Source organism: Homo sapiens, chromosome X, assembly GCF_000001405.40.
Source record: "Homo sapiens chromosome X, GRCh38.p14 Primary Assembly".
Lineage (NCBI taxonomy): Eukaryota > Metazoa > Chordata > Mammalia > Primates > Hominidae > Homo > Homo sapiens.
The window spans coordinates 68,054,205-68,068,215 of record NC_000023.11 but is presented as its reverse complement, the minus strand read 5'-3'; the positions used below and the strand labels follow the sequence as shown (position 1 = coordinate 68,068,215).

At 40.6% G+C, this 14,011-nt stretch overlaps 1 protein-coding gene across 5 annotated transcripts in view, besides 1 other annotated feature; it reads left to right on the top strand.

Moving 5' to 3' along the window:
- The window catches only part of OPHN1 (oligophrenin 1), a 391,498-nt gene that overhangs the window by 365,626 nt on the left and 11,861 nt on the right, over positions 1-14,011 (top strand). For 4 of the 5 annotated variants that reach the window (XM_011530961.2, XM_006724653.3, NM_002547.3 and 1 more), the window contains one exon: positions 4,039-4,362. The exons of the other annotated variant lie outside the window; for it this stretch is intronic. In XM_011530961.2, coding sequence (XP_011529263.1) covers positions 4,039-4,362 — 324 coding nt within the window. The remainder of the gene's footprint in view (positions 1-4,038; positions 4,363-14,011) is intronic. 5 annotated transcript variants of the gene reach the window in all.
- Positions 7,329-7,830: an enhancer, noted in NCBI's record as "NANOG hESC enhancer chrX:67280228-67280729 (GRCh37/hg19 assembly coordinates)". NCBI's record gives its function as "activates a minimal SCP1, AML or CMV promoter by ChIP-STARR-seq in naive H9 embryonic stem cells {active_cell/tissue: H9 hESC(naive)}" and the evidence as "EXISTENCE:reporter gene assay evidence [ECO:0000049][PMID:30033119]".

Genomic DNA, 14,011 nt, shown 5'->3' with positions numbered 1-14,011 from the left:
ACAGGCATGAGCCACTGCACCAGGCCTCAGCTGCACCATTTTACTTTCCCACCAGCAATGAATGAAGGCTCCAATTTCACCACATCCTCACCAATACTTTGTATAGTCTGTCTTATTTATTCTAGCCATCCTATGTGAGTGTGAATCCATAATCTCATTTAATGTTCAGCACTCCCATGCGAGGTAGGTATGCTGAATTCTGTTTTATAGTGAAGGCACTGGAAGCTCAAAGATGATGAGTAGTTTTCCCAACTAACACAGCTACTAAATGACAGAACAATTTGCACTCATCTATCTTATCCTAAAGCTTATTTATTTACTATAATATCACACTTCCTATAACCTGTCTGAACACTGTTCTGAGAAGGAACCAATCCTGCTCACCAGTAGCATCTCATTATCTCACTCTGAAATTTGATATCCCTTTTGTATATAGTATGTCAGTGACTCCTTTCACCCTCGTCATGGACTCCATCACACCTCCATAACTAAGCCCTGATTATTCCACTTCTTTAACCTCTCTTGAATCTGCCTCTCTTTTCTGACGCAGCTCTAGTTTGGATCCTTCTCAACAGCGGTCCCCTAGCTTGTCTTTCTGCCACCAGTCTTTCTGGTCCAAGCTACTTTTCATTGGAACGAGCCTATTTTTCATTACTTTTCGTAATGAACCCAAAGGGATGTTTAAAAATGCATATTTGATAATGCCACTTCTCCCCACCCACAGCCCTCTGCCCCCCAAAATCATTGTCTTCTGTGACTCAAAGGCAGAGTTTGTATTCCTGAGCATGGCATTCATGGACTTCATGATATAGCCCCAACTTATTGCAACAACCTCACCTCCAGCTACCCACACTTTTTCATCTGTAATTGGTCCCTATGCTCAAGCCAAACCAAACTTTTAATTATATTTTCTTAGGCAAAGCATGGTCTTTCACTCCTCCAAGTTGTTTTTTGTTTGAATGCCCTTTCTACTTTGCTCCACCTTTTGGAATTCTTCAAGGCCCAGCTTAAAAGTTACCTGTTTTATAAAGACCCTCTCTAATCCTTGCAGTCAGTATTAGTACTGTCTTACTCCTAGCACTTATTTGCATGAATCTACATGTATTATAATAATTGATTTATTTCTATTACTGTACCAGTGTGTATCCTCTCAAAGCTTCTCCCCACCTCTTACCCACCCATGGAAGAGAGGCCTCCACTTTAAGGGTTGGCCCCACGCCTATTTATGAGGCCTCCCTGTCTCATCCTGATTCACTCCCAGTTCTTCGTAGTCCCTGAGACTTGTCTGTGTGTTTTCCTGTAGAAATGGGTGGCTGGTTAGGGAAAGGGGATGGCACCGAACTTTTATTACCTGACAGAGCAATGAACTCTCTTCAGAAAGAGTAAGTAGACTCTGGAAGCAGACTTCAAGATTTGAAATTTGGCGTTTCCACTTAGTAGTTTTGTGACATGGAGACTGCGGGTGTCTTAGATTCCTTATCTGTAAAATGGGGCTAGTAACAATGTACTACTTTATAGAGCTGTTTTGAGGATTACATGAGATAATCCAGGTAAAGCACTTAGAACAGGGTCTGCCATGGTATAAGTGCTCAAGTAATGGTATGTGTTGTCTTTATCAGTATTATTCTCATTATTACTGTCATTGTCACTATTATCATTATTTTTATTCACCATACCCCAGAACCTAGAAATAGTTTCCCTGCTGAAAGGCCTGGCTCCGAAGTCATCATGGCTTCTATCATTACATTTCCTATTTTCCCGAGCCAGCAGAAGATACTTTCCTGAGTGGAAGGTAGCAGCCTCTCTGAGGCTGTGTATGTGGGTCCTCTTTATGAAGATTGGCTCTCTTGAGATGGTGATGTTACTCTATGGCCTGTAGGGCACAGGCAACCTTTATTTCCCTAAGGGAGAGCAGAGATGGAGTCACTTGTCCAGAAGAAAGTATTCAGATAGGAACATGCAGCTGAGATGTTGGGCTAAAGCATGTGAGGGAAAGAATTTATGTCACCATGCACTTTATTGTTTGGAGAGAGTAGATGTGCTTGAGTTACTCCTGAGTGCTGTGTTTAAAGATGGCCTCTGCCACAAGGCACGTCCTGGAAGCCAGAGGCTCTAGTTATTTGGCGCTCTTGTGCTCATGTTCATGCCATTATTTGTGAGCCTTTGGTAGTTTTTTGTTTGATGGCCTCTGTCTGGTTGCACTTATGCTAGGGTTAATAAATAAAGGGCTATGTGTCTACTTTGGGACAAAATTAGGGAGACTATAGGGGAACTCCCCTTGGTTCCGGCCCCTTTGGCAGTGGCATCAGTGGTGGCAAATTCCCAAGGAGAATAAAACTGTCTAGGGGACAAAAACCTTTGCAGCAAGACTTCCCCCATGGAAACTTTTGCCTCACTGCCCACCCACCACATAATAGTGTAAATAATAACCACCAATTAATGAGTGTCTGTTATGTGCCAGGCACTGAAATAAGTATACCTACCATCTCCTGTAATCCTCACCATAACCTCATGAGACCGGTATTCTTTATTATTCCCGTTTTACTGAGGAGAAAATTTGAGGTACAGAGAGAATAGGGAACTTGTACGAGGTCTCACAGTCGGTAAGAAGCAGAACTGAGATTCAGACCTGGCCACCTGGCTTCAGAGCCTGCATTTCTTTTAACATTTTATTGCGAAGAATTCCAAACATAAACAGAAATTGGAAACAAACGTATTGAACTCCCCACATTTCAGCATTTAAAAACATATATCAAGTCTTATTTCATCTATACCCCTACCCGTTCCCCCAACCTACTCATCATGTCATTTCATTTGTAAATGTTTCAGTGTATATCTCTAAAAGAAAGGAACTCTTTTAAAAGCAAAACCGCAATATCATCATCATACTTAAAATAAAACAAAACAGTGATTCCTTAAGATCAGCTATCCAGTCAGTATCCACATTCTCCTATTATCTCATTTTGTTAAAAAAAATATCAAGATCTAAATAAGATCCATGTATTGCAATTGGTTGATATATATCTCAGGTTTCAATTTGCTGGCCGGAACCTCTGTTCTTTTTTTTTATTATTATTATACTTTAAGTTCTAGGGTACATGTGCACAACGTGCAGGTTTGTTACATATGTATACATGTGCCATGTTGGTGTGCTGCACCCATTAACTCATCATTTACATTAGGTATATCTCCTAATGCTTTCCCTCCCCCCTCCGCCCACCTCACAACAGGCCCTGGTGTGTGATGTTCCCCTTCGTGTGTCCAAGTGTTCTCATTGGAACCTCTGTTCTTAACCACTGCACTCGAAGTTTTTTATGACTATGGAAGGTGACAATTTCTTTACAGCAGGCATTCTCAATCTGGGGTTTATTGACAGCTTCAGAAGGCTCTGTGAATCACTAAAAAATTAGTTTTCAAAATTTTTGCTATATTTGTGTGGGTTAATTTTTCTAGAGAGATGGTCCCTAGGTCTCATTAGGGTCTCAAAAGCTTTAAGTAAGTCTCAGAACCACTGAAAGACATGTACTAATGTCAGAGGAAATTGTAGACCACAAAAGCTGGGGAAAGAACAGTTGGAGGTTTCCTTCCGGGTTGGAGAACGAAGTTAAAGTATGTTATGTTGATTAACTTAAAATTTGAGAGACCTTAACAAAATACTTTTCAGAGAAGTGGTTAAGAATTAACTGATGATGTCTTCATTTGCAAAGAATAGAATATGCCATTGACTGGGGACTTTAAGTCTTTTTTGAGTGACATATTCCTTTAATAAAACCTCTTGGTTTACTGTGGCTTATTGAATTGTGGTGGTGAAAATCATACGCGGATCTTGAATTCCCTATTTGGATTGGATCTGTGGCTTTACATGAACTGGGAAGGGTAGAGAATGATTTTGTGGGATATAGTTGGTTTGTGCCACAGTGACATAACTGCTTTGAAAATGTATACAAATTTTCAAAATTAAGTATGTATGCATGTATCAAAATGAAAAGGTTTTAAAAGTTATCATTAATCTTCCCTCTTGGCACCAACTTTTCCTAGATGAAATCCAACATCAAACACCGAATGGTACTATCACCAGCAGCATAGAACCCCCCAAGCCACCACAACACCCCAAACTACCTATTCAGAGGAGTGGGGAAACTGATCCTGGGAGGAAGTCCCCAAGCAGGCCTATTTTGGATGGCAAGTTGGAGCCCTGCCCAGAGGTGGACGTGGGGAAGTTGGTGTCTAGGCTGCAGGATGGAGGGACCAAGATCACCCCAAAGGCCACCAATGGACCCATGCCAGGCTCTGGGCCCACCAAGACCCCCTCTTTCCACATAAAGAGACCAGCTCCCCGGCCCCTGGCCCACCACAAGGAGGGTAAGTGCTTGGGAATCCCATGGGAGCCAGAGCTGACCCTAACTACTTTTCACCTTGAGATCCTTCTGAGTTTGGAGATATATTTAAGTGGAAATATGTTCCAGTTTACTACCACTAATATTGGAACAGTGGGCAAGATCACAATAATCAGTCACAATAATCACTAGAATGTAAGCTCCATGAGGGCCGGGATTTTTTACCTGTTTTGTTGACCTCTATATCCCAAGTGCTATGTGCCTGGCACTGTACTAATTGCTGATATACTATTTCTTATCCTCACAATCCCACTGTAAAGAATGTATTATTCTTAATATTTTCTTTTTTTTTTTTTTTGAGACGGAGTCTCACTCTGTCACCCAGGCTGGAGTGCAGTGACGTGATCTCGGCTCACTGCAGCCTCCGCCTCCTAGGTTCAAGTGATTTCCCTGCCTCAGCCTCCTGAGTAGCTGGGACTACAGACACTTGCCACCATGCCCGGCTAATTTTTGTATTTTTAGTAGAGACAGGGTTTTGCCATGTTAGCCAGGCTGGTCTCAAACTCTCGACCTCAGGTGATCCACCTGCCTTGGCCTCCCAAAGTGCTGGGATTACAGGCGTGAGCCACCACACCTGGCCAAGAATGTATTATTCCTGTTTTTTTTTTTGTTTGTTTGTTTTTTTTAATTTGGAAATGGAGGCTGCTGTAGATAAGTGACTTGCCAAAGATTCACAGCTAATAACTGGCAGAGCTGGGATCTAAATCTTACCATGTCTCACAGGCACCAAAGCCTGCGTTCTTTCCACTGAGGCAGAACTATCACTTTACCTTCCTATAAGAAGCTATGAATCTGTGAACCCTTGTTTTCTCATTCTCCCTTTCCAGTTTGGGAGAAATAGGGACAAAGGGGCACAACTTCTGCCAAACTCTGGATTTTTGAAATTATTGCAAATTCAAGGTGTGGCTGACTTCAGCAAATTTAATTAACTATTGCATGTTGAGACTTATGTTGAGAGACTGGGGCTAATCCAGAGGGGAGTTTTAGGGGACACAATTCTATGAAGATAGTAAGATATAATGGACAAAATAAGGATTTGAGTATCAGAAAGGCTTGGATCTAAATCCTAGCTCTTTTACTTTGTAGCTTTAAGGAATTTCACAATATAGCAAAATGTAAAACCTTAAAAAATGGTTAAGAATAATTTATTTGACAAATATTTATTGAGTACTGACCATGTACCTGGCCCCATTCTACATGCCGAAGACATAGAAATGAATAAGACTTATGAAGTCCCTGTCCTCTTGAGGTTTAGATAAGAGGGCTTGGCAGACTATGGCCTGTGGACCCGATTGGGCCCACTGCACTGCCTCTTTTTATATAGCCTGTAAGCTAAGAATTCTTTTTTACATTTTTTAATGTTTGGAATTAAAAAGGAAATAATATTTTTTGACATGAAAATGTTGTGAAATTCAAACTTTGTCCATAAACATAAATACACCCCTTCATTTACATGTTGTCTATGGCTGCTTTCATGCCACAACAGCAGAATTGAGTAGTAGCAACAAAGACTTCATGGCCTGCACAGCCTAAAATATTAACTGTCTGACACTTTACAGAAAAAGTTTGCTGGCCTTTACCTTAGATTCTAGAGTACTGATAAGAAAACATGAGGCCCAGAATGGGAATCGGGAGGTTGGGAGAAGGTAGGATAGCAAGGAAATGGCAGGAATGGAGTTAGTATACAAAATATTTGCCATGAATACTTAAACACTTGGTGGAGCAGTGTCACAGGTTTGGTTCCAAACTTTCTAGAGAAAACAAAAAGAGAGAAACCAATGGTTATATAACTAAGTTCCTAAGGTAAAAGCAAGCCAATTGTTCAGGTAAGCCATAACTTTTCTGGTTTTGAGGCCAGGGAAAAATTTCTTCCATGGATTATTTCATATAACAACCTCAGTATGAACCAATGGCATTGTCTCAGAGCACAATTTAGTAAAAGCTATTCAGTGTGCGGATGGGAGGGGGTCCAGTACAATTTCTACAAGTCCAGTACAATTTCCACAAGTAGTTGACTCTGAATGCTCTGGTTTGATCCACTGATGCTGATGTGATCACTCATGCGATCACAGTTAATTTATGTAAGCTGTTTGTACCTTGGTTTCCAGATCTGTAAAATGGGAAAACAGTTCACCTGTTAGAATTATTATTGCTAGGATTAAAAGGAATGACAAAATATCTGGCGTATAATCAGCATTCAAAATATGATATTGATTTCCCTCCCCTGTCCCTCTTCTCACTATGACTTGGCTCTTCTGAGACATAGCCAAGAAAAGGAAAACTTTAATGTAGACCTCTGCTTCTGTTTTTAAGTCATGTCGTGACCTTCCTATCAATCTGGGTAGAAGGTTGGGTAACTCAACTTATACTCGTCACAGTAAAATTTGTCTTGTCTGTTGCCAAGCCTTGAGACTGGCCAGATTCTATCAGCTCAGCGCACACAGTAACTCAGCCCTCCTTCCCTCCCTCCTGCAAAGTTCAATCCCAGTGGCATTCCCCTCTTCCCCTTCCTCCAGTCCTACCCTGGGCTGCTGGCGGCAGCTACTCTGATCTAATGGTCTCAGCTAATGTAAGTACTGATCTGACTTGTTCAGTATCAGCCTAACTATCTAAATCTGGGCCTCAGCTTTGCCTGGCTTCATTTTCTGCTTTCAATCAGTTAGCAACAGGCTGGCACGATGCAGCTTTTTTTCAAAACCCCATGCTTCCAGCTTTGGCTACAGAAAGCAGAACTGAGGTGGTTTTGGCCTTGGTGGAGAACCCCCCAAACCTCTGGTATAGTTGCCTCTTTGAACCTAACCTACACTATCTATTCACTTCTTACTTCCTCCTTGCTCCCCTCCTGATTCTGGCTGCTTCTCCTAGTAGATTCCCTGGCATCTGAAGAGTTATCGGTTAAGCAAAAGCCACACACAGCTCTGACCCTGTGCTATAACTGGTAGTTGTTTGCTCCTGGTACTGGCCAGTAGCCTGAATGGCAGTATTAGAGGGAGGGAACTGTTACCTCAGCCAGCCCAGTCTGTACCTTGCAGTTGTCACCCCATTTCAGCTCTGTTGTTTAGGACTTTGCCTGCCATCCTGAGGATCAGTACACAGGCTCCATTGCATTAGTGAGCCAGCTGTGCCACAGTCCTGCCCCCATCTTCACCCCTTGCATTGACTTAACATTTGAGTGGCCTTAACATTCTTCACATTTTTTCTCAGCAATTAAAAATAACAAAAGCATGGTGCATGTTAAATTGCTTTTTTCCATGACAGTCAACTTTAAAATAAGAATCAGTAGTGTTTGCTGATGGAATTTTATCAAGGATCCTTTTCTGTTCCAGACATGAGCTTGATACTTTCACTCTTCTGTTGCGTCTAATCATTGTGATAGGCCTTGTGAGGTATGATTTACCCTCCCCTTTTTATAGATGGAGAAACAGAGGCTCACAGACACAAAACAACTTGCTCAGAGTTACCTAGGTTGTAAGGTGCAGAGATGGGGCTTGACCTCAGCTTCTTGGGTTCAAGATTGGGACTCTTTTTCTTTATACCATATTTCTTCAGCAGCGTTGGCCATCTTCTCCTTTCTGTTTTTCTAAGGACCACTTACTTTTGGGGGGGTACAAAATTATACAAGCCTATTTTTTTCTGCCTTCATTTGAGTTTACTGCCTCTTAGGTGTCCTGGCTTTGCAAAGGGCAGGCATGTAGCTACCGCAAAGGGATTTAGGACTTTCCTTTGGGTAATGAAGAGGGAGGAGGGCTATATCCCATCTACTTTACATGTATTTGTTTATTTAATCAGGTATAATCATATGCAAAGGGAGAGACAAAAATGAAAAGCCATTGTCTCTGCCTTCCAAAGGTTTGTGGTGACACTGGCATGCAAGCAGTCAGTCCCAGCCAATGTGATTAATGTTCTAGTAGGGGTGAGAAGAAATTCTAGTAGGAGCATGGAGCAAGGAGACCTTCATTCTACCTGAGGTATTGAGATGAAAGTGAAGAGCACACCATGGACTGGGACTTTATGACATATGGGTTGAGGGGCCCTTCTTAGCTCCTTTCCTCTGTCTTGGCTGGAAAGGAAAGATTGCATCTGGTGGCATGCTTTTGGGCTTGTAAGGCCTTGCTCAGTCACAGAGCCATTAATTCTCCACTGAGGTGACTAATGTTATGAGTGGCATTTGCATCTACTCTAAAAGTATTAGGAACAGACTTGCTCTTGCAGTAATGGGTGTTGCTGGCCATTATCCACATTTTCTTGTTTGGACTTATGCTTTAATAATCTACTGTTTGGTTTTTATTCTCTACTTTTCTTGGAGCCTAACGCCAAATTGTTTTATAAGGATAAATAATGGCTAAGGAAGCAGGAAGGCTTTAAGGTGAGCATGGAGGAGTGTCATAGAAAAAAAGAGGTAATTCTAGGTGACTGGGGGAATCTACAAGAGGAATCAACCTCCTCCTACTCTGTGCCTTCAGGTTGGGTATAGAGGAATATAAGGAAAGGTGGAAAAAAGTTGCTAAGGTTGAATACTGATGACCATCAGGTCCCAAGAACTCTGCAAATGTTAAGATTCTTTGGTTATGGTCATTTGACAGAGATTAGAGAGAGAGGGAACAGGTGGGGCTTGAGAAGGAGATCAAGTTTGTAGTAAAAGCCAGGTTTCGGACCAAAGTTGAAAAGAAATTAAAAAGAAGTACAGCTTGGTGGAAAGCCTATAGGCTCAAGTGACTTAGTGGTTAAAAGCTCAGGCTCCTGAATCTTCCAGATGTGAGTTTGAATCCTGGCTCTGCCTCTTCCTAGCTGTGGGACTTTGGGCAGGTTACAACCTCTCTGAACCTTAGTTTTCTCATTTGTATAATGAGGATAGTATTTGCGCCCATAGGATTGCTATAACAACAAAGTGAGTCCTCTACATGCCTAGCACATCAAGAGTACTCAGTAAATGATAGCAGTTGTTTTGCTTTCATAGGAGACTATTACTAGCTACTTGATCTTAGTTAGTTCAGCTTTACTTCTTTGAGCCAGTTTTCTCAACTGTAAGTGGGGACAATACCACCATTGAAGGCAAGGATTTTGCATGGATTAAATTAGATTAGGTATACAAAGAATCTGGTAAAATAATAGAGGCTTAAGAAGTGGTAGTATTACTAGGTAACAACCTCTTAGGAAATGGCAGACATGGAAGATGGGGTGTCTACTCTTCTGTATTCGAGGCCCTTTGAGAAGCCTCAAGCCTAAAATGTAGATGGCATAAAAGAGTTCAGAGTTATATTTTCAACCCACAACCTGTCCCTACCATGCCAAACACCTAGGAAGAGGCGAACTAACCTCAAGGTCTAACTCAAGTCTCATTCTGTCCATGAAGCCTTCTGACAATCCTACCCCAGTTAGCTCTCCCTTGATTCACATATTTTGGCACCCAAGATTGACCCTCTAATGTGGATGCTAGTTTATAGTATTCACACTTGTTTCCCATGAATATGACTTATATCCCCCAACTCAGTTTTGAGCTCCTAGAGGGCAGGGGTCATTTGTGTGTCTTTGTGTGTGTGTGTGTGTGTGTGTGTGTGTTAGAGTGTAGGGTTGGGCACAAAAGCCCTCACAAAACCCCCATATTGAATACCGTTCAATTTAGGTTTCAGAGAGAGAAAAAGAGAGAGACAGAGGGATTAATTATTTTAAAGCAGGTTAAGTACATGTAGAGTACTTCAAAAACAGCCTATAAAAGTCAGCTGGGTCTAACATTTAAGTCAGTCCAGCAGGCCAGCATGGCACATGTAACGAGCCTATGTAACGAGCCTGCACATTGTGCACACGTACCCTAGAACTTGAAGTATATTTTTAAAAAATAAAAAGTCAGCTGGGAGAGATAGAGGCTTATAGACTTAGATCATTGGCTCATTCATCTGGAAAAACAGTCCAATCCCCATGTTATACTGGTAAGGAAATGATCCGCTGAAGGTCACACAGAAAGTTAGTTTTAGTATTAATCATAGAATCCAGGTTTCTTGACTACCAGTTACATTACTCTCCCCTTTCTGCCTCACCAGTTTGATACTGTGGCTTAACTGTGACTGAGACACATTAGAGGCAAGAGAGAACAACATCGGTGTCTTCAGCCAAGAAAATCCTTTGCTGCTACCTCAAAGCTTTACTTGTAATGAATAATCATTTGGAGGTAGCAATAAAGGGCCCAAGAGGAAATGAGGTTAATGATGTTTGTTTTCCAAGGCCCTAGGTTCATGTTCATTAGGATGTGGCTATAACTTGGGAATGAATAGGGTTCATATTTTAGGGATGTCATCTGGTTCACTCATCAAGGCATGGTTTCAGGTAGACATGTTTTCCAGCTCTAACAGTCCAGCATATCATTTCTTTACAATTACTGCCTTCCCCTCCACAACTCCGCCTCCCAGCAGTAACCAGTGGAAATGGGGCAGCACTCTCAGCTCTGCTACTCTGTGGGGTGCAGTGAGGAAGCAACATCATATGGCTTAATGGTCCTCAATCTTGGCTGCACATAGCATCACTTGGGAAGCTTTTAAAAATACCCATGCTCAGGATCCATCCTAATCAATAAAACTAGGACGTATGAGGGTGGGGTCCAGGTACTTTACAATTTTAAAGCTCCTTACATATTTCTAATGTTTCACTAGGGTTGAAGAACAGTGGTAGTTGGGACTACATAGGTTTCAGAAATCAGATGGACTGATCAACTATGAAGTTACTTTTCATCTCTGAGTCTCTGTTTCCTCAGCTGTAGAACGGAGATAATACTTTCTGTCTTGCAAGATTGTGGCCAGTGTTGAATGAGAAAATGTGCATAAAGCACTGAGTACAGTATCACAGTACCTGGAACAGAACAACTGTTCAATAAAGGTTAGCTAAAAAAATTTTGCCAGTACTATTGTATTACCATTACTATTATTATTATAATTTATAATTTTTATATTACCAATGATAACAAAACAGCAGACAACTGGAAAGGCAGTGGGTGTGGAAACAGGAGGTATGGGTTTCAGCCCTCACTCTACCATTTAACCTATGGTTGTGGATGAATCAGTTTACTTTTCTGAACCTCAGTTTCCTTCTCTGTAAAATGGGGATAATAAGACCTATTTATTCATCTCTCTCAAGCTTATTGTAAACATTAAGCAGTTATCGTCTGGGAGAGTGCTTTGAATAGTATAAAGTATATTAGAAGAATTGGATTATTATTATCATTTTGGTTAATTTTTTCTGCTGCAATGCTGTATACCCAGTCTGATGTTAAGGGGAATGACATGTCCAGAACGTAAGATGCAGACTAAATGGAGAGACAATTCATATGTGTGCACATGAATAGTGTTTTGTTTCTTCCTTAATTAGAACACCAATCACACTGTATTATCATTATTTCTTTACATATATATCTTGCTCACCAGAATGGCTAGATGGATGAATTTTTTAAAAAACGTACATATTAATATATAAGAACTTCACGAACATTTACATGGATGTGAATTACATATACCTACTAGGGTGTTCAGAGGGTTGAGATTTTAGCTGGGTCTTGAGGAATGATTATAATACACAGGAGACATAAGAATAGGGACACATATAGGGCAAGAAGCAGGACAGAGTCTGACGCTTACTTACCTCTGCTGTATACTAGGCATTGTCTATAGGTCATCTAATTGAGTCCTTAAAATCACCTTGTGAGGAGGGTTTTTCTTTCTTTTTTTTTAAATTATATTTTAAGTTCTGAAGTACATGTGTACAACGTGCAGGTTTGTTACATATGTATATATGTGCCATATTGGTGTGCTGCACCCATTAACTCATCATTTACATTAGGTATGTCTGCTAATGCTATCCCTCCCCGCTCCTCCCACCCCATGACAGGTCCTGGTGTGTGATGTTCCCCTTCCTGTGTCCAAGTGTTCTCATTGTACAATTCCCACCTATGAGTGAGAACGTGCGGTGTTTGGTTTTCTGTCCTTGAGATAGTTTGCTCAGAATGATGGTTTCCAGCTTCATCCATGTCCCTACAGAGGACAAGAACTCATCCTTTTTTATGGCTGCATAGTATTCCATGGTGCATATGTGCCACATTTTCTTAATCCAGTCTATCATTGATGGACATTTGGGTTGGTTCCAAGTCTTTGCTGTTGTGAATAGTGCCACAGTAAACATATGTGTGCATGTATCTTTATAGTAGCATGATTTATAATCCTTTGGGTATATACCCAGTAATGGGATGGCTGGGTCAAATAGTATTTCTAGTTCTAGATCCTTGAGGAATCGCCACACTGTCTTCCACAATGGTTGAACTAGTTTACACTCCCACCAACAGTGTAAAAGTGTTCCTATTTCTCCACGTCCTCTCTAGCACCTGTTGTTTCCTGACTTTTTAATGATCACCATTCTAACTGGTGTGAGATGGTATTTCATTGTGGTTTTGATTTGCATTTCTCTGATGACCAGTGATGATGAACATTTTTTAATGTGTCTGTTGGCTGCATGAAGAGGAGGGGTTTTTATACTCATTTCGCAGATGAGGAAATTTACAGTCGTAGAGGTGAAGTACCTGTCTAGGGTCCTACAACCTGGAAGCAGCAGAACAAGATCTGAAAGCCAGGTCTACAAAACTCCAGACTCTGTCTCACTTAGAAGTAAGAGTCAAGGGTTTGCCTTAATGGGGCAGTAGGCAGACCAATTTGATTAGAGTAGAACTGATAGTTAAAATCCAGGGTTACTGCTTGGGACAGTAATATGGGACCAGCTCAAGGAGGGCCTTGATTTTCTGTGAAGGAGTTTAAACTTTTATCTTCTACATTTTAGAGCTGTTGGGAAAGTCTTTAAAGAGCAGAAAAACAGTGTAAAAATACTTAAATTAAATTTTATAGTTGTATATGTAGATTCAATTTAGTATGTTTTTACATTTACTGTAAATATTTTTGTAGAAAAAAATGGATGAATATAAAGATCCACTGACACCCTTGCATAGTTATGTACATGTCTATTTCAGTATGGTCTTCATCAGGCCATGAGCACTTTCTGTGGACTTTTTTTTCACTTGATATTATTTTGTATGCCTGTTTTTGTTTTGACCTGGTCTAAATTTTTGGCAGTTCACACATAATATGTATTGGTTAAATGCTTGTATGAATTGAATTGTTTGTTTAGCCTTTATGGTTAAGTCTGATTTTTTTTCTGATAAGATGCATGTTTTTGTGCCAATTGCTTTTTCTTAAGTGTTTTTTTTGTTTTGTTTTGTTTTTTTGTTTTTTTGCCTCTTGGATTAGTCCATTTGGGCCTGTTCCCAAAAGCAAAATTACTGGATCAACGAGTATGAACCGTCTCATATGTATGATTTTGTACTTCATCCACATTGTTCCAGAATCCTTGATGCCCTCTAGATAAAATAAGCCCAGTTCACATTGCCACCAGCAATGTGTGAGTTTACCTGTTTCACTATAGTCCTACTAGAACCATCTTATTTAAAAAGTGTTTATATTTATTTTGTACTAACTGACAAGGAAACTAAAGACACAGAGGCAGGAAAGTGAGTTAGAAAACAACTATAATAGTCAAGGCCTAAGTGAAAAGGACCTGGATATCAGTGATGATGAATTTAAGCAATT